The sequence below is a fragment of the Homo sapiens genome, chromosome 3, assembly GCF_000001405.40.
Source record: "Homo sapiens chromosome 3, GRCh38.p14 Primary Assembly".
In the NCBI taxonomy this organism is placed as follows: domain Eukaryota; kingdom Metazoa; phylum Chordata; class Mammalia; order Primates; family Hominidae; genus Homo; species Homo sapiens.
Genome location: NC_000003.12, coordinates 136,081,039 through 136,105,661, shown reverse-complemented (window position 1 = coordinate 136,105,661; position 24,623 = coordinate 136,081,039). Strand labels below are relative to the sequence as shown.

At 39.5% G+C, this 24,623-nt stretch overlaps 1 protein-coding gene across 9 annotated transcripts in view; it reads right to left on the bottom strand.

The window, feature by feature from the left end:
• PPP2R3A (protein phosphatase 2 regulatory subunit B''alpha) overlaps window positions 1–24,623 on the bottom strand; it is a 182,167-nt gene that overhangs the window by 42,233 nt on the left and 115,311 nt on the right. For 8 of the 9 annotated variants that reach the window (NM_002718.5, XM_017006787.3, NM_001190447.2 and 5 more), the window contains 5 exons: window positions 23,241–23,397; window positions 17,731–17,779; window positions 14,995–15,084; window positions 3,480–3,655; window positions 2,286–2,404 (listed from right to left, as the gene is read on the bottom strand). In NM_002718.5, coding sequence (NP_002709.2) covers window positions 2,286–2,404; window positions 3,480–3,655; window positions 14,995–15,084; window positions 17,731–17,779; window positions 23,241–23,397 — 591 coding nt within the window. Of the gene's footprint in view, window positions 1–2,285; window positions 2,405–3,479; window positions 3,656–14,994; window positions 15,085–17,730; window positions 17,780–23,240; window positions 23,398–24,623 lie in introns of those variants that run through there. The other variant, XR_001740196.3, reaches the window with a different exon arrangement.

The window sequence follows — 24,623 nt, the reverse complement described above, 5'->3', positions numbered from 1 at the left end:
TAAAAGAGATAGGGTCTCACTCTGTTGCCTAGTCTGGAGTGCAGTGGTGCACCAATAGCTTACTGCTAACCTCAGAATCTGGGCTCAAGTGATTCTCCTGCCTCAGCCTACTGAGTAGCTGAGACTACAGGCATTCCACCTACTAAGTAGTTGAGAATGCAGGCATACCACCATGCCCTGCTAATTTTAAAATTTTTTTGTAGACACAGGGGCTCACTATGTTGCCCAGGCTGGTCTTGAACCCCTGGCCTCAAGTGATCCTCCCGTCTTAGCTTCCTAAGTAGCTGGGATTACAAGCACAAGCCATAGCACCTGGTAAGTCTACTCTTTAGCCTTGTAATCAGAGACATTTCTCTGGTCCCCTCTCCTCTGGCACTTTGCACAGCAGCCACCTGGAGTGACTTGTGGTTTGCCACAGGCCCGCCTGAAATGTACCTTCCCCAAGCCCCCATTCGCTGGCAAATTTTTGTTCTTTAAAAGCCAACTCAGATACCACGCTGTCTGTGATAGCTTCCTGGAAACAGCCCTTCTCTCCATATCACTTCCTTTTTCCTAATGTAGATACTTTGGTTGCCACCTTTTGTTCTTGTATCTCTGCCATCTCCATATATCCAGTATCTCTTCAACACAGTGCCCAGAATTTATTAAGCACTGACTAATAATGTTCTTTGTAGATCAGAACAAATATCAATAATTATACCATTTATTAAAAAAAGTAAAATTTAAAGGTAATTTTTTTAGAGTAAAAATGGTAACACAAAGAAAATAAGTGAAGAGGGAAAAGACCACACACTTTTGTGAATTTTCTTGAAATTTTATGTTTCAGATAAAATGTCTTTCCAAGCCGAACATGAGTTAGTATTGCCCTAGGGTCTAGAGTTAGTTATGCCAAGAATAATGTTAAGTTCCTAAACAATGACCACTATTAATTACTATATTTAACTCCTTTTAAGACCCCATCTCTATCCTTCTAACATTTATAAAATTGCAATGCATTATAGGCTTACAACTGGCAATGTTTGGGGTTTTGTTTTTGCTTAGAGAACTATAAAACAGGCTGGGCACAGCCAGCTCACGCCTGTAATCCCAGCACTTTGGGAGGCCTAGGTGGGCAGATCACCTAAGGTCGGGAGTTCGAGACCAGCCTGACCAATATGGAGAAACCTTGTCTGTACAAAAAATACAAAATTAGCTGGGTGTGGTGGTGCATGCCTGTAATCCCAGTTACTCAGGAGACTGAGGCAGGAGAATCACTTGAACCCGGGAGGCGGAGGTTGCGGTGAGCCGAGATCACACCATTGCACTCCAGCCTGGGCAACAAGAGCGAAACTCTGTCACACACACACACACACACACACACACAAAGAAAGAAACAAATATAAAATTATGGAGCATGTTAAATTCAATGAACCATAACAGACTTTAAGCCAGCGATAATGCAACTTGATATGCTGAGGTCAGCTGCAGAATATTTGTTTTTGGAAGGCGATAAATTCTTATTTATCTTATTTAGAAGGTGATCATATTCTTACTACTATTTAGGTCAAACAGTTATGGAACATGCAGAAGAAAAAAGAATGCAAAAGCTTCTTATAGTTTACTGTTACTCAACTGCAACAGTCTGTTCTTAACATAATTTTTACTTCTTAGAGGAATGGTAAGAACAAGGGGTGACATTGTTTTTATTTTTAACATGGATCGTATGTATAGGGTTTTCTGAGGGTCCACAGGTTTGTGTGTCTGGGGAAGGATATTCAGCTTTATTCAGATGTAGAATGCATTCAAAACTGATAGCCATGAACGGCAATCATTAACACGTGAAAAGGCGTTATATTATTTGAAGGTTTTCTATCATGGAGAACTCTAGTTTTTACCGTGATGGGGAAAGCTACTTACCATGGAATCCTGGAAATGAATGGTACAAGTGAATCAAGGCCAATATAGTTTCTAATACAGATGTGCCTATTGATATATTTTTAAAAGTTAGAAGGACAATTTTTTTTTCAAAACTACTCTTTTGTTTCCAGTGTGTGTATCAGTAGATGAGCTATAGAGTCCGCTCAGTGGAAAGTGCTTACACAGATGCAGGTTACTTAGACCTGACGATCGGCTGTGGAGAGACATGTGCTCTAGAGGTCCTTTATTGTCTCTTTTTAGTCTTTAATGAAATGTTACAAATGTTACCTCTTTACCGAAATTCCAGCATGCAGAGACCATGTTAATATGTAGCACACACAGCCCCTGACACTGCAGCCCTCAAATAAAAGTTAAAATTATACTGTTACCTTCTGGACCGCAAAGGGATCTCTCTGTTCATGGTCTAAGTATTTCTCCAGATTAAAGAAAGTGTCATAGAAGATGTGAGCCATTCTGCACCTCTTCAGATCTCTTAGAGTTATTTTGCCTACATAAAAATAAACAAATCTGGTAAATTTCATCAAGAGCTGTTTTGGCAAGAGGAAAAAACTTTCCCTGACATCTAAAAGTATAGGTATATGTTTATTATAAAAGTCCTATTTTCAGAATAAAAAAATTTAAATCTCATTTCTTTTTTCAAGGGTATCAATTTCTCAAACCCATTTCTTTTATTGAGGTAAAATTCACTAATAAAGTTCACCATTTAAACAATTTTAAAGTGCATAATTCAGTGGCTTTTAGTACACTCACAATGTTGTACAACCATTACCACTATCTAGTTCTGTAATAATATCATCACCCCAAAAGGAAACTCTGTGCCCATCAAGCAGTCCCTCCCATCTCTCCTCATGTGCTTTCTGTGTCTAAGGAAAAATCTTCTTTCATCCCCCAAACCCCGCTTTCATTTTCTTTTTAAAAAAGAGATACAGTCTCGCTGTGTTGCCTAGGCTGGAGTGCAGTGGCTACTCACAGGAACAATCATAATGCAATCCTCCCACCTCAGCATCCTTAGTAGCAGGGACTACAGGCATACACCACTGTGCCTGGTGTAAAATCCTATTTCTTAAATAGCAGACTTGCCATCAATTGCTACACTAAGCCTGGGCATGGTGACTCACGCCTGTAACCCCAGCACTTTGGGAGACCGAGGTGGGTGGATCACCTGAGGTCAGGAGTTCGAGACCAGCCTGGCCAACATGGTGAAACCCCATCTCTACTAAAAATACAAAAATTAGCTGGGCATGGTGGTGGTTGCCTGTAGTCCCAGCTACTTGGGAGGCTGAGGCAGGAGAATCACTTGAACCCAGGAGGCGGAGGTTGCAGTGAGCTGAGATCACACCATTGTACTCCAGCCTGGCAGACAAAGCGAGACTGCATCTCAAAAAAAAAAAAAAAAAAAAAAGTTGCTACACTAATAGTCAAGGAGAAACTTTAAACACTTCTGTCCTAGGAAGTCTTCTATCAAGACTCTGAAATGTTAAATAATTTAGGACAATCTAGGATTCTTTGCCCTCCTCTGATACATAGGTGAACAGTGCATCTGTCCCATTGCTTGGTCTCACCATCAACAGCTGGCTTCACTAGGTCAAGCATCTGGCACAGTAAATCATGGAATGGCAAGGGCTCAATTCCCATGGCTTCCATCCGTTCACACTGCTCCTCATAGAAGTACTCCAGCTCATACATGGAGAGTACACCGTCTCCATCCACATCCATGCAGCGGAACCAATACTCAATGCTAGATGATAAGGACAATCATTATCATGGGCCTGGTAAAGACCTTTTATTTATCCAGATTTAGTATGTTTCTTTTAAAGTAAAAGTTACATATTACATACACTTCAGGCTTAGATATAGTTTTACAAAGTTTGTTAGAGAAAATGGCGGACCCCTTCTTCCCTTTATTTTTCCACCCAGAATCAACCGTGTTCAACCCCATTTTGCTTTTTACCTTCCTATTTTCAGATAACACGTCTATATCGCTCCTTTCTTGTATTTATTTTCAGAACTATTATTAGAGGCTGGGCACGGTGGCTCATGCCTGTAATCCCAGCACTTTGGGAGACTGAGGTGGGCAGATCACTTCAGGTCAGGAGTTTGAGATCAGCCTGGCCAACATGGTGAAACCCTATCTCTACTAAAAATACAAAAAACTAGCTGCGCATGGTGGTGCATGCCTGTAATCTCAGCTACTTGGGCGGCTGAGGTGGGAGGATTGTTTGAACCTGGGAGGTGGAGGGTGCAGTGAGCCAAGACTGCGCTGCTGCACTCCAGCCTGGGTGAAAGAACGAGACTCCCGCCTCAAGATAAAAACCAACTAAACAACCAACCAACCAAACAAAAAGTAGATTTCACATTATGAAAGTTGAACTTTAGTTCTTCTGTAATTTGTCACCACTTTACCTACACGCCCTTCTCATCCTCTTAACACAGTTAACTTGCTCAACATTCAGAATTTATAATTTTATATTTTTCTTTTATCTATTTGCTTAGTTTTCTGTGTACTTGCTACTAATTCAACCCCCAAATTCTGCCAGTTGTCTAAATCCACACTCAGTTCCATGAGGTGCTCTGTCAATTGCATGTTCTTGATGAAGTCTTCCTTGGTTGCTTCTGACCTACTCTAATCTGGGCTGCTTAGTCTCTAGGCCTCGCTCAGTTTCATCCAGGGATTCCTTTCGCCTTTCTCCTAATTCTTGTTTCTTGCATTTTCCTCATTCTTTGTTTCCTCATTATTTTGTTACTCTGCGCATTCTCTAGTAGCTTCTTGAATGAAAGAGCATGGCAGGTACATTTTTTGAGATCTTGGGTCTTTGAAAATGCCTTTTTTCTACCCTCTAATATGGTTGGTATTTTGGCTAGTTATAGAATTAGAGGTTTGTGGTGTTTTGCCTTCAGATTTTTTGTTTTAACTTTAGAGATGGGGTCTCACTCTGCTGCCCAGGCTGGAGTAGAGGCACAACATGGCTCACTGCAGCCTTGAACTCCTGGCCTCAAGCAATCTTCCCAAGTAGCTGGAACTACAGGTGCATGCCACGATGCCTAGCTAAATTTTTTTTTCAGATGGCATCTCACTCTATCACTCTATTGCCCAGGCTGGAGTGCAGTGGTGTGATCTTGGCACCGCAACCTCTGCCTCCCGGGTTCAAGTGATTCTTCTGCCTCAGCCTCCTAAGTAGCTGGGATGACAGGTGCCTGCCGCCATGCTCAACTAATTTTTTTTTTTTTTTTAAGGAGAGACGGGGTTTCACCATATTGACCAGGCTGGTCTCGAATTTCTGACCTCAGGTGATCTGCCCGCCTAGGCCTCCCAAAGTGCTGGGATTACAGGCGTGAGCCACGGCGCCTAGCCTGGCTAATTTTTAATAATAATAATAATAAAAGTTCTTTTTTTTTTGGTAGAGACAGGGTCTCACTATATTGCCCACACTGGTCTCGAACTCCTGGCCTCAAGGGATCCTCCTGTCTTGGCCTCCCAAAGTGCTGGAATTTTAGTTGTGAGCTCCTGCGCCTGGCCTTTTCCCTCATACTTTAAAAAGTATTGATCCATTGTTTATCCAGTATTGATGAGAAGTCTAAAGCTTTATTGGTATCTATTCCTTTGACTGTAACCCATTTTGTTTTTTGCCTCTTAGAAGCCCGCAGAGGTTTCTCTGAGTCCTTAGTAGTTTGAAATATCATGATGGCCTTGGTTGAGATCTAGCTCATCTATTTGGCTGGGCTTTTCTGAGAGCCTATTCAGTTTGGAAACTGAATCCTTCAGTCCTTGAAAATGTTTGTATCTCTCTTCCCTGCCCTTTCCCTCCTTCTCTTTTTTTTTTTTTTTTAAGAACTGTTATTGAGATCTACATAGCCCAGTAATGGTATAGCTACTAGCCGCATGTGGCCTTTTGAGCATCTGAAATGTGGCTAATCAAATTTGAGATGTTTTCTCAGTGCAAATACAAAACAGATATACAACAAAATTAATTTTACCTATTTTTAAATTTTTCCATTGTGGCTAAATTTTAAAATTACCTATGTGGCCTGTACCATATTTCATTTTCCAGTTATATTAAAATTTTTTTGATCTGTTTCTCCAATTTTCGTATCTTGTCTCTATTTCCTATTGTTTCATCTTTTTTGGGGGAGGGGGTTTCTTTCTGGGAGGGTTACACAGCTTTATCTTCTAAACATTGTTTTTTTATTTCTGCTATTGTAGTTTTGATTACTCAAAGAGCTTTTTGGTTTCCTGAATGTTCCTTTCATAGAAAGTATCATTCTGTTCATGTCCTGTACTCTAATTTCTTCTCATAGTCTCTCTGAGGATATTAATCACTGTGTTTTTTTTCTTGTAATGTTTTATTTTCTCTGAAAGTCTGTTTCATCCAAGTTATCTTTCCCCCTCTATTTGTCTGGCCTTTATCTTTTGTGCAAGAGGCTTTACTCAGGTATCTAGTGATCCTCTGTTCTCTGCTCATATTTGAGAGTAGGTGCTAAAAAGCTGATTGGAGGTTCTGATCTGTGGGTTTGTTGACTCTGGGCTTTACTGTAAAATGAATGGGCTGGTTTTTTTCCTTGGGGATGACCCAGTGTCGAATCTTCAGGTCTTTATTCTTGGGCAGGTCAGTTCCCCAGAAAAGCATTTCAGTTTCTTGCTTGGAGGTTCAGGGCAGGTAGGCAGCATTCTGTTAGCTGAGTGAGGAATGAAGACTGGGCGTCTCAGCATTCAGTATGCATACACTCATTTTATCTGTTTTCAAGATCACATTCACATCTCAACTGTGCCCAATGCTCCCCAGTCCGGAGACCCTCTGTTTTATGTTCTCCAGGGAATAAAGCACCAGTTTTATGCTAGGGTAGAGGACATGACCTGAAGATCAACTGTTCATTTAAACAAACTTTCTATAAACTCTCCTGTTTTGGCTTTACCTTTACCCCACCCCCACTTCCAAGGTTCCTAGTATCCCCAAATCCTGAATGTCTGCAGGTTTTGCTGGGTATATCTGGTTGCTTCTTGGTTTTTCCCTCAGCTGGCTTAGGATTCAGGCAGTCTGCTATGTTTATTTGCTTTCCAGTTTCCAATACTTTGTTATTATTTCTCATTTCCTTTATGAAGCCAACAACATTAATTGGTAATAGGGAACAATGTTTTTCTAAAGAACCACAAATTCATGGCAAAGTAAAACTTTTCAAGAGAAGGTTCTAGGAGACCGCTGTTCAAATTCCCACTTGTAGGCCTGAAACCATATTAAGAACCACACCTTTAATGGTTAAAAGAAAATCTCCTTTGGGGAGAGAAAAGTGAAAATAACTAAGTTGTAACTGTTGACTGTTTTCAAGTAAGTCACATTAAGATCTGTGTGTACCTTTTCTGAGAAAGATATAGTTTACATTATTGCAAAAAATTGAACATGTAATACTTGAAAAGTTTTTTACTATTTGTTTTTGAGATAGGCTCTCATTCTGTTACCCAGGCTGGAGTGCAGTACTGCAATCATGGCTCACTGCAGCCTCAACCTCTTGGGCTCAAGTGAGACTCTTGCCTCAGCCTCCAGACTAGCTGGGACCAGAGGCATGTACCACCACACCTGGCTAATTTTTTAAAAACTTTTTGTAGAGATCAGGTCTTCCTATGTTGCCCAGAGTGGGCAAAGTCTTTTTGAGAAATATATTTTAAAAATTGTACCAACTTGATGTTTAACATTATTATTAAAGAACAAAGGGGGACATTCATTGAACCTAATGAATGTGAGGTAATAGGTTGGCTATGGTGAGGTTCAGTCATATCATATCTACTCTCAGAATATAAAAGGGGCAGAATGCTGCCCCACTGTCAAACTATTCCTGATTGTGGGGAAAACCTTGAAGAGTTACATCTCATAAGCAGAGGGCTGCAATACATGTAATAATATCTGGTTGTTACACTGTTGGGACTTTTTTTTTTAAGTAATAATGGTTTCAGTACAAAAGGGGCAGGGGAGTGGCCTCTGGCCTCTAAGATCTCTTTGTGTCTTGAAATTCCTCATTAATTATCTTAAGAGAACCAAAATCAGGCAAAAGGGAATAAAGTAAATCTTGATTTTGACCAAGGATTTAACAGGACTGAAGTGAAAGACAACTTATTTTACTGTGAAATAGAAACTGAAATAATTTAATTACTTGCATTTTCAATTAAGAACTAAGACAATCTTCTCTTTACAATAAATAAAGCTAAAGCATACCCTTCAGTTCTTTGTTAATAGCCCGTAAGAGAGAAAGAAAGCTAGAATGCAAAGATAGATATACTGCCTGAATATTTGCCAAAAGCACATAACTGCTTTTAAATATCTGAAAGATGTGGTAGATCAAACAGATATAATTCTCTGAATATTGGAGACTATAAGGATCAATGAACGAAAGAGAAAAATGAACAGGCTGCCTCAGTGGATAGTTACTTGTCCCTGAAAAGTTTAGCAGCAGGGGCTGGATGGATAATACATGCAGGACATGTTCAGAGGGTATTTTCTTATTGAAAGTACTGGATACTCTCTAAAGTTTCTTTCATTGCAGATTCTTTTTTTTTTTTTCTTACCAAAGGTAACTGATCTTCTCAGAGCCTAAAAGTATTGACTATTTATTGTAGGAAAATTGGAAAACAGAAAACACAGAAGGAATAACTGACCAGAGAGCACTAGTGTTAGATTTCTGCTATATTTACCACCAATATTTGGTTTTTCAAAGCATAATGATATTAATGACAAATTATATTTCTAATATTGTAGACATAAACAAAATTACATTTTTTGTGTGTGTGTGAGACAAAGTCTCGCTCTGTCACCCAGGCTGGAGTGCAGTGACATGATCGCAGCTCACTGCAACCTTCCTCACCTCCTCCCCAACCCCCGGGTTCAAGCGATTCTTGTGCCTCAGCCTCCCAAGTAGCTGGGACTACAGCCATGAGCTAAGATTACTTCTTGTCCTTTCCTTGGACTGAATGAAATTAAGTGCTGAGCAAGTGATTTCTTACCCCTAATATAAACTCCTGTATGCTACTCAAGAAGAAAGTTACTGGAAACTCCATTATTGCTTAGGCAGTAATTAAATGTATATTCTGTTGCATATTCAATATACATATTTTATTATTTACTACTGTGAAAAGCACTGGCCTAGTGCCCTTAGGCATAACAAAGGTGAATGAAATAGCTCCTGGAGATGATATCTAGCCAGATGACTAAGGTAGAAGCAGAATATGATAAAAACCAGGACAGAGAGATTAAAGGACATACTAAAAGAGGGTTTGCAAGAGTTTGTCCACAGAAAACAATCTACCCAGATTCTTCCCATATCTACCTCTGTTACCAGGCATAGGAAAGACTCTAGATCCTAATTTCGTACGCAGCATTTCACGCAGGATTAATCACACCTTAGTGAATGTATTACTTTTTTTAGGAAATTCATTTTTTCAACCCATGTAATTCATAAGCCAGAAACCCCATTTCTGCAAAGTGGTGCCTGTTCCATTTTCTTAAATAAGAGTTTGATTTTCATTCTATAGACAGTCCCTGACTTATGATGGTTTGACTTAGAATTTTTTGACTTTACAATGGGGTGAAAGCCACATGCACTCATTAGAAACTGCACTTTAAGTACCAATACAATCATTCTGTTTTCACTTTCAGTACAGTATTCAATAAATTATATGAGATACTCAATACTTTATTATAAAGTAGGCTTTGTGCTAGATGATTTTGCCCAAATGTAGGCTAAGATGTGTTCTGAGCATATTTAAGGCTGGCTAGACTAAGGTATAATGTTCAGTAGGTTAGGTGTATTAAATAATTTTTGACTTATATTTTCAAGTGATGCTGAGTTTACCAGGATGTAGCCCTACTGTAAGTGGAGGAGCATCTGTACTGACATTTTTGCCAAAATGGTGGACACTATTTTCTGCTCACACTCTGCTTTAGTAAAGCAATGTGAACCACTGAGAATAACATGCAGGGTACCTAGTAAGTGCCACTAGAAACCAAGGAAACAAGTATCAATGGGCAAAATCAGTAGTTATTTTCTTATATAATTGGCCTAATTTTGATTCTCTTAAGCAACAAGCAATTTCATGACACAAAAAGAACTCTCTTTTAGGGAGTCTACAGCCTACTTGGAAAGAAGGTAGACATGCAAATGAATGGCATCTGGATGACAGGCCATATAGTGGTAGAGTCCAGGTTTGGGAGAGATACAAACCTGAGTCTGAATCCAAGCTAGGACACTTACTAGCTGCACAGTCTCTTAGAGCTTCTGTTTCATCAACTGAAAAATGGGACCACTGACACCTCAACTCATAGTGATATGAGGATTAAATAAGCCATTACATATAAAATACTAGTCACTGGCAAAGAATGGAATCTCAATATGTGAGCTGTTAGGAGAAAGGCAACATGCAAGGTAGAAAAGGAGCACCAAAGGAGGTCTAAGAAAGCTTTTGACTCAAAAAACCTTTGTTGGTAACATTCTATGAGAATCCAGTTATGGATCTCATGATGTGAAAAACTGATCTGAAGAGCTCCACTTCTGCTAATGATTACCTAAGTGGGATCATGCCTTCCACTGAGGAAACTGAGGGGACCTCCCCCCATAGAAAAAAAAAACAGTTCAAAGATGCTGGAGAATTAACAGGGCAGTGAAGAATTATGGTATCCAGATCTAGAAGAAAATCCAGAGAGGGGCACCTAGCATTTGGGACCATCTTTCCCTTGGGGCATCTGCAGATTCTGGAAGAGGGACCTGAAAGTTTGAGGAACTAAGCCTTGACTTACTAGTATTTTGTTACTGATTTTGGGTCTATATTCAAGAGGGATGTCAGTCTGTAGTTTTATTCTCTGGTATGTGTTTGTCTGGTTTTGTTTATAAAATGAGTTGGGAATTATTCCTTCCCTTTCTGTTTTCTGGAAAATGTGGTGCAGAATTCAGTATTATTTCTTCTTCAAATGACTGTAAGAATACAATTAAATTATCAGGGCTGGGAGATTTCTTTTTCAGGAGGTTCTAAACTGTGAATTCAATTTTCTTTAATAGACATCTGACTATTCAGGTTATGTATTTCTTTTTAGGTGAGTTTTATTAATTTGTGACTTTAAAGGAAATTGGTCCATTTCATTGAGGTCACCATATCTGTGTATGTATACGTTATTTGTAGCATTCCTTTATTACTTCGTGAATATCTAATTCCCCTTGAGTCATCCTTTTTAATCCATAGATTATTTAGAAGTGTGTTGTTTAATACCCAAGTGTGTGGAGATTTTCCAGTTGTCTTTCTCATATTGATTTCTACATTAATTCCATTTTGTTTACAGAACATACTTTCTAGTATTCTAAGTCTTTTTTTTAAACAGGCTTACCAAAATATATTTCACATATCATATAATTGTTCCTTTTAAAATGTACAATTCAAGGGTTTTTAACATTCACAGAGTTGTATAACCATCACTACAATTAATATAGGGACACTTTCATCACCTACAAAAAGAGACTCCATACCCATTAGCACTCATTCCTCATTTCACCACAGGCTCTCCACGGATTAGGCATCCATTAACCTATTTCCTGTTTCTATACATTTGTCTATTCTGGACAACTCATATAAATGAATTCATACAGTATGTGGTGTCTTGTGACTGGCATCTTTTACTTTACATAAGGTTTTCAAGATCCAGTCGTGTGTAGTATGTATCAGTATTTCATTTCTCTTTACTGCTGTATAATACTTGGTTATATGAATAGATCACATTTGTTTATCTTGGGCTGATCCCAACTTTTGGCTATTGTGAATGACGCTGCTATGAAAATGGGTGTACAAGTTTTTGTGTGGACATGTTTTCATATATCTTGAGTATATACCTAAGGAGTGGAATTGCTAGGTCATATGATATGTTTAACCATTTGAGGAAATGTCAGACTTTTCTGTAACGGCTGCACCATTTTACATTCCTATTGTAATGTATGAGGGTTCCGATTTTTCCACCTGCTTGGCAGCACCTGTTATTATCTGACTCTTTGATAACTATCCTAGTGTGAAGTGGTATCTCATTGTGGTTTTGATTTGCACTTCTCTGATGACTAATGATGTCAAGCATCTTTTCATGTGCTTATTGGCCATGCATATATCTTCTTTGGAGAAACATCTAATCAGATCCTTTGTCCATTTTTTAAACTGGTCAGTCTATTATTGAGTTGTAAGTGTTGTTTATATGTTCTAGATACAAGTTCCTTATCATATATATCATCTGCAAATATCTTCTTCCATGCTGTGGGTTGTCTTTTTACTTTCTTGATCATATCTTTTGATGCACAAAAGTATTAATTTTTTCTTTTTTTTGAGATGAGGTCTTACTCTGTCACCCAGGTTGGAGTACAGTGACGTGATCTCAACTCACTGCAACCTCTGCCTCCCAGGCTCAAGTGATCCTCCCACCTCAGCCTCCCAAGTAGCTGGGACCACAGGCGCGTGCCGCTGTGCCTGGTTACATTTCGTATTTCTGGTAGAGACGGGGTTTCACCATGTTGCCCAGGCTGGTATTGAATTCCTGAGCTTGGGCAATCCACCTGCCTTGGCCTCCCAAAGTACTGGGAATACTGGCATGAGTCATCACATCCAGCCAAAAATTTAAAATTTTGATGAAGTCCAATTCATTGACTTTTTCTTTTGATACTTATGCTTTTGGTGTCACATCTAAGAAACTGCCTAGCCAAGGTCGTGAAAATTTACTCCTCTATTTTCTTCTGAATTTTTTATAGCATTAGCTCATACATTTTGGGCTGTGATCCATTTGACTTAATTTTTGTAGTATGTGAACTAGGGGTCCAAAGGTAAGGTTGGTACAAAAGTAATTGCAGTTTTGGCCACCAAAAGAAATTGCAAAAACCACAATTACTTTTGCACCAACCTAATATTATTTTGTATGATATCCAGTTGTTCCGGCACTATTTATTAAAAACACTGTTTTTTTTCCCCATTGGATCGTCCTGGCATCCAGCATCCTTGTTGCAAATCAATTAGCCCTAAATGTGAGGATATATTTCTGAACTCTCAATTCAATTTTGTTTATTTTTATGTCCATCATGATACGAGTACCACACAGAGTTGTTTACTTTCACTTTGTAGTGAAATATTTTGGAATAGGGAAATATGAGTCCTACATTTTTTCTGTACTTTTTCAGCATTGTTTTGGTTACTGTGGTCCCTTTGTATTTCCATAGGAATTTAATATTCAGCTTTTCCATTTCTGGAAAAAAAATAAAAACCATCGAAAAACAAAAAAAGCTTTTGACTCAAACTAACTAATATTTTGTTAGGAATCTGTAGATCAGTTTGGGAATTACTGCCATCTTAACAATGATCCATGAACATGGGATGTCTTCATTTCATTTAGATCTTTAATATATATATTTTTTTGGTGATGGAGTTTTGCTCTTGTCACCCAGGCTGTAGTGCAATGGTGCGATCTCAGCTCACTGCAACCTCTGCCTCCTGGGTTCAAGCAATTCTCCTGCCTCAGCCTCCCATGTAGCTGGGATTATAGGCATGTATCACCACGCCTGGCTAATTTTTTACATTTTTAGTAGAGACAGGGTTTCATCATGTTGGCCAGGCTGGTCTCAAACTCCTGATCTCAGGTGATCTGCCCACCTCGGCCTCCCAAAGTGCTGAAATTACAGGTGTGAGCCACTGCAACCCAGCTGAAAATCCAAAACTTTTTGAGTACCAACAAGACACTCAAAACTCATACTCAAAGGAAATACTCACTGGAGAATTTTGGATTTCAGATTTGGGATGCTCACTGGTAAGTGTAACAAACAGTTCAAAATCTGAAAAAAATCCAAAATCTGAAACACTTCTGATCTCAAGAATTTCAGATAAGAGATACTCTACTCTGCTGGTATATGAAAAAGAGTAGCATATATATGAACTTTTAATATTTTTTTCTGGGTATTAAAATTACTGGTATTAAAATTTATTTTTCTTCTGCTCATTCATGTTTTCTAAATAAATTATTACTTTTGAAATGGAAAACAAAGTTATTTAAAAATAATCTAACAAGCTCTCCAAGAAATGGCTTATTTTTATTTCAACATCTTCTAAACAATATATTCAACATTTATTTTTTTAGAGTTGGTGTCCTGCTCACTATACCCAGGATGGAGTATAATGGCATGATCCTAGCTCACTACAGCCTCAAACTCCTGCCCTCAAGTGATCCTCCTGCCTCAGCTTCTCGAGTAGCTAGGACTACAGGTGTGCATCACCATTCCCAGCTATTTAAAACATTTATCTGTAGAGATGGAGTCTCGTTATGTTTCCCAGGCTGATTTCAAACTCCAGGCCTCAAGCAATCCCTCCTGCCTTGGCTTCCCAAAGTTCTGGCATTACAGATGTGAGCCACCATACCTGGACATATACAACATTTAGATAACTTTTCGAATCAATATTAAGATAGTTGAGTTAGCTGTACCTGCAAGTACCATCAAGGTCTATAACCCCTCCATCCCTTGGTACTGAGCACAAACTACAGTGCGTTGTGTTACACAAAGTAGGGATAAGAAGCGAGGCATCTAGATTTTTTGCCTAAACAAGACATGGAAAGAAAGAAATGTGTAAATTAATAACTCCAATCAAGCTATGTCTGGGAGTGCCAAGGAAAAGCATAGATGATTTCAACTGGCAGACTGAGGATGTGTTCTTATATACTAGTCATCCACAATTTGCTTTCCCTCTCTAATAGTAATGGTTTACCATTCAACCAGTAAGATGATAAAACAAGTAATTCATAGCATCTATTCCCATATTCCACATGAATGCTTACTAGCCCTACTTGTCATCAGCTTACATGTCACTTCACCTTTGTTTCTGTGGGTAACAGCACTTCTCTTGATATGCCATGAACATGGATTCAGTGCCAATCTCCTGAGACGGAGAGCTCCGAGACGGCAGAAACTAAGTCTAATTCATCTTAGTATTGCCACGTTGAGTTGGCCTCACTAGGTATAATATACACCATGACTTTTTCAAGCTTTGTGCATGTGTTTAACATCTTGGCAAAGGAAACTTAGAAATCATACCTGGTAGGATTCCTTTTGTCTTCTTCAGAGATCAAAAACCAAACAAAATCTGCATAGCTCATTCTTCCCTCTTTCTGTATTGTTTTTCCCCTAAAGAAAACACATGGTTATAAAATTTCCTGAGCAATTACTCAGAACCATTTATCAGGATGATAGGCTAAGAAATAAAGTAGTATGTCAGTTAAAATTTTTTAAATTATAATGCTAAATGCCTCATAAAGGGCAACCCTTCCACAGCCTATCTTATTTTCAAAGGTCTAGAGGGTGAAACCAGAAGGCATTTGCAAATATGAAGAAAAGAAATCTGGCTTTTAATATGAATGCAAATAATCACTGGGATAAAATGCTGTTACCTGTATTTAGATATAGGATTAATACTCATGTTAGGCATCAATGGAAGATACCTCAAAATAATAAGAGCCGTTATGACAAACACATAGCTAGCATTATACTGAATGGACAAAAGCTAGAAGCAATCCCCTTAAGAACAAGAACAAGACAAGGATGACCACTCTCACCACTCTATTCAACATAGTACTGGAAGTCTTAGCCAGAGCAATCAAGCAAGAGAAAGAAATAAAACACATCCAAATAGGAAAAGTCAAATTATCTCTCTTTGCTGACAACATGATTCTATACCTAGAAAAGCCTGAAAACTAAGCCAAAACGCTTTCAGAACTAATAATAATTTCATTAAAGTTTCGGGATACAAAATCAATGTATAAAAATCAGTAACATTTCAATACACCAATAGCATTCAAGCTGAAAGCCAAATCAAGAATGCAATCCCATTTACAATAGCCACACACACACAAAATAAAATACCTAGGAATACAGCTAACCAAGGAGGTGAAAAATCTCTACAGGGAGGACTACAACACTCTGCTGAAAGAAATCAGAGATAACACAAACCAATGGAAAAACATTCCATGGTCATGGATAGGAAGATTCAATATCGTTAAAATAGCCATACTCCCCAAAGCAATCTACAGATTCAATGTTATTCTTATTAAACTAATGTCGTTTTTCACAGACTAGTTTTTTTTTAAGAAAAAAAAAAAAACAACACCATTCTAAAATTCATATGGAACCAAAAACAAAGTCCCAATAGCTAAAGCAATCTTAAGCAAAAACAACCAAGCGAGAGGTATCATAGTACCTGACTTCAAACTACACTATAAGGCTACTGTATCCAAAACAGCATGGTACTGGTACAAAAACAGACACACAGACCAATGGAGCAGAAGAGAGAGCCCAGAAATAAAGCTGCACACCTACAACCATCTGATATTTGACAAAGTCGATAAAAACAAACAACGGGAAAAAGACTCCCTATTCAATAAACAGTGCTGGGATAATTGATTAGCTATATGCAGAAGAATGAAACCAGACCCTTACTTTTTACCATATAAAAAATTAATTCACAATGGATTAAAGACTTAAATATCAGACCTGAAACTATAACAATTCTAGAAAAAACCCTAGGAAATACCCTTCTTGACATTAGCCTAGGCAAATAATTTATGGCTAAGTCCTCAAAAGCAACTGCAACACAACCAAAAATTGATGATTGGGACCTAATTAAACTAAAGAGCTTTTGCACAGCAAAAGAAACTATCAACAGATTTAACTACCTACCTACAGAATGGGAGAAAATATTCTTAAACTATGTATCCAACAGAGGTCTAATATCCAGACTCTATATCGAACTTAAATCAACAAGCAAAAAACAACCCCATTTAAAAATGGGCAAAGGACATGAACGGACACTTCTCAAAAGAAGACATACAGGCAGCCAACAAACATGAAACAATCTCAACATCATTCATCATTAGAGAAATGCAAATCAAAACCACAACAAGATACCATCTCACAACAGCCAGAATGTCAACTACTAAAACGTCAAAATGTAACACATGCTGGTGAGGCTGTGGAGAAAAGGGAATACTTATACACTGTTAGTGGGAATGTAAATGGGTCCAGCTGTGGTGGAGAGCAGTTGATTTCTCAGAGAACTTAAAACAGAACTACCATTCGACCCAGCAATCCCATTACTGGGTATATACCCAAAGGAAAATAAATCATTCTACCACAAAGATACAGGTACTTGTATGTTTATCCAGCACTATTCACAATAGCAAAGACATGGAATCAACCTAGATGCCTACCAACAGTAGACTGGATAAAGAAAATGTGGTACATATATACCATTGAATACTATGCAGCCATAAAAATTATGAAATCATGTCCCTGCAGCAACATGGAGGCAGCTGAAGGCCATCATCCTAAGCGAATTAACACAGGAACAGAAAACCAAATACCGTATGTTCTCACTTGTAAGTGGAAGCTAATACTGAGTACACATGGACATAAAGATGGGAACAATGGACACTGGGGACTGCTGAAGTGGGTAGGGAGTGAGCACAGTGAGGGCTGAGGGACTGCCTGTTGGGTGTTGTGCTCACTGCCTGTGTGACAGGATCCTCCATACACCAAATCTCATCATCACCCAGTGTTCCCATGTGACAGACCTGCACGTGTACCCCCTGAATCAGAAAAGTTGAAATTATTTTTTTAAAAAAGAATTACTGTCTTGTATTAAGCCATAACTATGTTTTATAGGATATTATTTGGTCCAATAGCACTGCCAAATTATTCAGGAAGCTTTGCTAAAATGAGATGGTTATGGTATTACTTGTAGTTCATTTTTAAACACAGCATTAAACGTTTTCTTACCTTGTTACTGCACCAGAGAATATCCTTTCAATAATCCTGCTTGATGAAGCTAAATGTAGATAAAAAAAAAATTGCAAAGCTAGTTAGAAACATGCTCCATAAAGGCAATACTTTTCACAAATTTGCTTTTCACTAGCTACAAGCTAAACCGTAACCATCGTCCATGATGAGAATGTGAGTACATTTTTATTTACGCATAATTTTAATATAATTTTAAAAAATAACAGGCAAATGAATGTGGCTGACATCTGGGAAGTATTAATATAGTTGAATGCTAAGTTAGGTCTGAACATCCTGACAGCTAGGACAAAAATATATAGGATTTGTTTTGATCTTATCCAATGAGACCAATTTTCCTATAAACAAGACAAGTTTTATCCTTAAATTCAAGGGAGAACTGATTGTGTAAGCTCCTAAAACAATGTAAAATAAAACAAAACGAAGTTAAAACAATGGAGAATGCTTTCAAGTAGTTTTTTTAAAAGCTACTCAAACACACTACAAACATACTTTTCTTATATTCCCATTTTATAAAAGCCCAGGGTTTAACATGATATAACATAAGATTTTTAGAAATTCCATCAGGAAGTTTTATTCACATAGATAATCGTGGCTTAAGTTAGCATGTTGGTGAGAGAGAGAGAGAGAGAGAGAGAGAGAGAGAGAGAGAGAGAGAGAGAGAGAGACACGACTAGAGACCTGTTCTTTCATTTATTTATTTATTTTTGAGACAGAGTTTTGCTCCTGTTGCCCAGGCTGGAGTGCAATGGCGTGATCTCGGCTCACTGCAACCTCCGCCTCCCGGATTCAAGTGATTCTCCTGCCTCAGCTTCCCAAGTAGCTGGGATTACAGGCATGCGCCACCATACCTGGCTAATTTTTTTGTATTTTTATTAGCGATGGGGTTTCTCCATGTTGGGCAGGCTGGTCTTGAACTCACAACCTCAGGTGATCTGCCCACCTCAGCCTCCCAAAGTGCTAGGAATACAGGCGTGAGCCACCATGCCCAGCCTGTTCTTTAACAGATGCCCCAGGCAATGGCATGCACACTAAAATTTCAGGATCATCAATAAGGTCATTAGGGACTTAGCAGCTATCAGCATCGAATTCTTCTGCACATAGTTAGGTACAGTTAGCATAAAGGTAAATTGGTTTGGCCAAAGAAAGTTGGGAATATGTGTATTGGAACAGCCGTGCCTGGCCACACACCAAAGCTTATATAAAGACCTTCTATATTTTGCTGAACATTGGTTTATGGGGTTAATTTGTACTAGATAGAAAAAAAGAGGGCTATATAGGAAAGGCAAGGATATTTAATTGTAAAGCCAAAATCTTTTTTTAAAGGCATTTTTTAGCTTGGGAAGGTTTAGCTTCCTAAAATTGAAGATCATGTTATTCTATGTTGTCTCATTAGGGACAGTCTGGTGAGTGGATAATTATGGAGTATTCAGTGGCCCCTTCTCGCTCTGTCGCCCAGGCTGGAGTACAGTGGTGTGATCTCGGCTTACTGCAACCTCTGCCTCCTGGGTTCAAGCGGTTCTCCTGCCTCAGCCTCCCGAGTAGCTAGGATTACAGGCACGCACCACCACACCCGGCTAATTTTTGTATTTTTAGTAGAGATGGGGTTTCACCATGTTGTTCAGGCTGGTCTTGAACTCCTGACCTAGTAATCCACCTGCCTTGGCCTCCCAAAGTGCTGGGATTACAGGCGTGAGCCACCGCGCCTGGCCAACTTTATTTCTTAAATACGCAAAGCTCTATGAAACCTGACATCATATACAACAAACCTTTTTTTTTTTCTTTGAGACAGGGTCTCCCTGTCGCTCAGGCTGGAGTGTAGCAGCACCATCATGGCTCACTGCATCCTCAACTTCCCCAGGTTCAGGAGATCCTCCCATCTCAGCCTCCTGAGTAGCTGGGACTACAGGCATGTGCTACCACATCTGACTAATATTTGTATTTTTGTCATTTGAAAGACATTTTTTAATTTTTAATTTTTGTATTTTTTGTAGAGACAGGGTTTCACCATGTTGCCCAGGCTGGTCTCGAACTCTTGGGTTCAAGTGATCCACTCGCTTTGGCCTCCCAAAGTGCTGGTATTGCAGGCATGAGCCACTGCCCCCTGCCTGATGAGCCTTTTCTTAAGATGCATACCATTAGTAACAGCCATACCAAAAAACAAAAACAAAATTCAATGCATTTATTTAAGATTCATACTCTGCTATATCTAATAAGCTAAAGTATCATTTAAAAATCAACAGTGCCTGAGAAGGCATTTAAGGACAGAACAGGGACAATCTTATGAGAGAAGAATGAATCAATGTATCTTAGTGCTTAGTTAATATTAAATCAGGCCAGGTGTGGTGGATCATGCCTGTAATCCTAGCACTTTGGCAGGCCAAAGCGAGTGGATCACTTGAACCCAAGAGTTCGAGACCAGCCTGGGCAACAAGGCGAAACCCCATCTGTATTAGTCTGTTCTCACGCTGCTAATAACGACATACCTGAGACTGGGTAATTTATAAAGGAAAGAGGTTTAATGGACTCACAGTTCCACATGGCTGGGGAGGCCTCACAATCATGGTGGAAGGCAAAGGAGAAGCAAAGGCACATCTTACATGGCAGCAGGGGTGTGTGTGGGGGAACTCCCCTTTCTAAAACCATGAGCTCTCATGAGACTTACTCACTATCATGAGAGCAGCACAGGAAAGACCCGCCCCCATGACTCAATTAACTCCTACCTGGTCCCTCCCATTTCACTTGGGGATTATGGGAGCTACAATTCAATAAGAGATTTGGGTGGGGACACAGCCAAACCATATTGTTCCAACCATGGCTCCTCCCATATCTCAGATCCCCACACTTCAAAACCAATCATGCCTTCGCAACAGTCCCCCCAAAGTCTTAACTCATTTTAGCATTAACTCAAAAGTCCACAGTCCAAAGTCTCATCTGAGACAACCCAACTTCCTTCCACCTATGAGCCTGTAAAATCAAAAGCAAGTTAGTTACTTCCTAGATACAACAGGGATACAGGCATTGGGTAAATACACCTGTTCCAAATGGGAGAAATCAGTCAAAACAAAGGGGCTACAGGCCCGATGCAAGTCTGAAATCCAATACTGCAGTCATTAAACCTTAAAGTTCCAAAATGATCTCCTTTGACTCTGTCTCATATCCATGGCACACTGATGCAAGAGGCAGGTTCCCATGGCCTTGGGCAGGTCCACCCCTGTGCCTTTGTAGGGTACAGCTCCCTTCCTTGCTGCTTTCATGGGCTGGCATTGAGTATCTGTGGCTTTTCCAGGTGCATGGTGCAAACTATTGGTGGATCTACCATTCTGGGGCCTGGAGCATTGTGGCCCTCTTCTCATAGCTCCACTAGGCAGTGTCCCAGTAGGGACTCTGTGGGGGCTTCAACCCCACATTTCCCTTCCACACTGCCCTAGCAGAGGTTCTCCATGAGGGCTCTGCCCCTGCAGCAAATTTCTGCCTGGACATCCAGGTGTTTTTATACATCCTCTGAAATCTAGGTGGAGGTTCCCAAATCTCAATACTTGACTTCTGTGTACCCACAGAACCAACACCACGTGGACGCCACCAAGGGCTGGGGTTTGCATTCTCTGAAGCAACGGCCTGAGCTGTATGTTGGCCCCTTTAAGCCATGGCTGGAGCTGAAACAGCTGGGATGCAGGTCACCATGTTCAGAGGCTGCATAGAGCAGGGGGGGCCCCAGGCCTGGCCCAGAAAACCATTTTTCCCTCCTAGGCCTCCAGGCCTGTGATGGGAGGGGCTGTCATGATGGTCTCTGACATGCCCTGGAGACATTTTCCCCATTGTTTTGGTGATTAGCATTTGACTCCCCATTATTTATGCAAATTTCTGCAGTGGGCTTGAATTTCTCCCCGGAAAATGGGTTTTTATTTTCTACTGCATTATCAGGCAGCAAATTTTCCAAACTTTTATGCACTGTCACTTCTTGAATGCTTTGCTGCTTAGGAATTTCTTCCACCACATACCCCAAATCATCTCTTTCAAGTTCAAAGTTCCACAGATCTCTAGGGCAGGGGCAAAATGCCAAGTCTCTTTGCATAGCAAGAGTGACCTTTACTCCAGTTCCCAACAAGTTCCTCATCTCCACCTGAGATCACTTCAGCCTGGATTTTATTGTCCATATCACTATCAGCATTTTGGTTAAAGCCATTCAAGTCTCTAGGAAGTTCCAAACTTTCCCACATGTTCCTGTCTTTATCTGAGCCCTCCAAACTGTTCCAACCTCTGCCTATTACCTAGTTCCAAAGTCCCTTCCACATTTTCGGGTATCTTTACAGCAGCGCCCCATGCTACTGGTACCAATTTACTATATTAGTCTGTTCTCATGCTGCTAGTAAAGACATACCTGAGACTGGGTAATTTATAATGGGAAGAGTTTAATGGACTCATAGTTCCACATGGCTGAGAAGGCCTCACAATCATGGCGGAAGGCAAAGGAGAAGCAACAGCACATGTTACAGGGTGGCAGGCAAGAGAGCATGTGCAGAGGAACTCCCCTTTATAAAACCATCAGCTCTCATGAGACTTATTCACTATCATGAGAACTACATGGGAAAGACCCACTCCCATGATTCAATTACCTGCCACCAGGTCCCTGCCACAACAGGTGGGGATTATGGGAGCTACAATTCAAGATGAGATTTGGGTGGGAACATAGCCAAACCATACCACCATCTTTACAAAAAAATACAAAAAAATTAGCCAGGTATGGTGGCATGTGCCTGTAGTCCCAGCTACTTAGGGGCTGAGGTGGTAGGATGGCTTGAGCCCAGGAGGTTGAGGTTACAGTGAGCCGTGTTCATGCTTCTGCATTCCAGCCTAGGTGACAAAGTGAGACGCTGTCTCAAAAAAACCAAGGATATTAAATCAGTAGGCAACAGGTTCTAGATTTACCGCTGGCAAAAATGAAGTAAAAAGGGTATTATCATGTGATATGTAATTTTTTGTTTTCTGACAAAAGAAAGCACGCAAAATTCATCTGCAGAGACGTATCTTTCTGGAACAAAATTTCCAAAAGTAAATTTTTGTGAGTCCTTGAAAATAAAACTTGGCAAGTTAAAAACATTATTTTCATGCTTGGCTTTTTACAGAAATATTGTTAAGTGGGAAGGGTTATAAAGGTGTATACATATTCTCTTTCAAACAGATTTAAACAGGTGTGGATCTTATTCAATTCATCATCAGAAAATACACACCAGTATAAAGACTCATCGCTTTATCAAAACTAAGACTGTGATTGGTTACTTACTTCCAAACTCCTTCTCCTACATCTGGCCTTTTATTAATTTAATAAAAAATTATATTATCTTCACTCATCCCCTCTTAAAAATTATTGGCCTGTAAAGAGGACTTGATTAGGTTTAGAATTTAGCAAACGGGAATTTCTCATAATGAGTAGTGATAATTTATATAACTCTTTAAAATGGTTAAGTCTTAGCATCTACAGAATCACTTACCCTGGTCATTGTATCGAGACAGATCGGCCTGGCTGATGTAGAGGTCGTGATCAGTATCTAGTTCCCAGAATTTACAATAAATAACATAGAAATGTTCATAGGAGAAGTAATCTGTAATTTGGTTTATATCTTCCTCTTCTTCCAAAAGTGCTAGGGTCTGAAATTATATGAAAAGAAGAATTTAAACATTATGAAAAAGCAGCTTTGGCCACTGTGCAGAGTCTAGCGAATTTCTGTTTTAAACTGAATTTAAAATTTTTTTCTGGTACCAAATCAGAAACCCTTTAATAGGCAACCTCATCCTACCTTTAATCAACCAATCAATCTATAAGCATTTACTGAGCTCTGTAATATGCTCAGTGAAGGGCTGGATGCTGTGGAGGATGTAAAAGCAGGGGAAGGGAAGTACCATTACCTTGGGGACTATAGTTGGTCAGAGGTCAGAGACTGGCATGAAAAGAACAATTAGATCATAGTCTTAATTATTTGGCCAGAAACAAATACTGTTTTTAATTTTCAAAGTTATGTGAGCAACATTAAGAGGGGTAGGCATCAACATATAGGGTTTCATTTTGTAATAAAATTAAGTTTATATCACAAAGGTTACTCATATATACAATAGTGATGATACATGGTGGCCTGGCATAGGCATGGCAGGTAGAGATGCAGGGCCCTGAGCTGGAAGTAAACCTGGGTCTTCCCTGACTCACTGTACTCCCCTACGGCAAAATCCAGAATCAATGATACTGAACCCACAATTCTGTTGTCAGCCAAATTATTATGTAAGTGGGCAGATAAATAAAGACATATTCAGAAGTGAAAGATTCAGAAAGAAAAATAAAAGCACAAAAGAATGTAAGAAATATAAAAAAATGAAATGGCAGAAATAAAATCAGATATATGAATAGTCACAATAAAGATAAGTGATACATCTCCCTATTAAAATATTTTTTTGATTAAGTATCAAAACCATGCCCCCAAAACAGATCTACCTATATGCATCTATAAGGGATACATCTAAAAAAAATAAGGAAGGTTAAAAAAAAGATGGACAAACATACACGGTTAAATGTTAACAAAAATAAACAGGTATCAATATTAATATGGAATGCAAGGTGAAAAACATAAGCGGGCTGGGTGTGGTTGCTCATGCCTGTAATCCCAGCACTTTGGGAGGCTGAGGCAGGTGGATCATGAGGTCAGGAGTTCAAGACCAGCCTGGCCAAGATGGTGAAACCCCGTCTCTACTATAAATACAAATATTAGCTGGGTGTGGTGGCAGGCGCCTGTAATCCCAGCTACTTGGGAGGCTGAGGCAGAAAATTGCTTGAAACCGGGAGGCAGAGGTTGCAGTGAGCCGAGATCGCGCCACTGTGCTCCAAC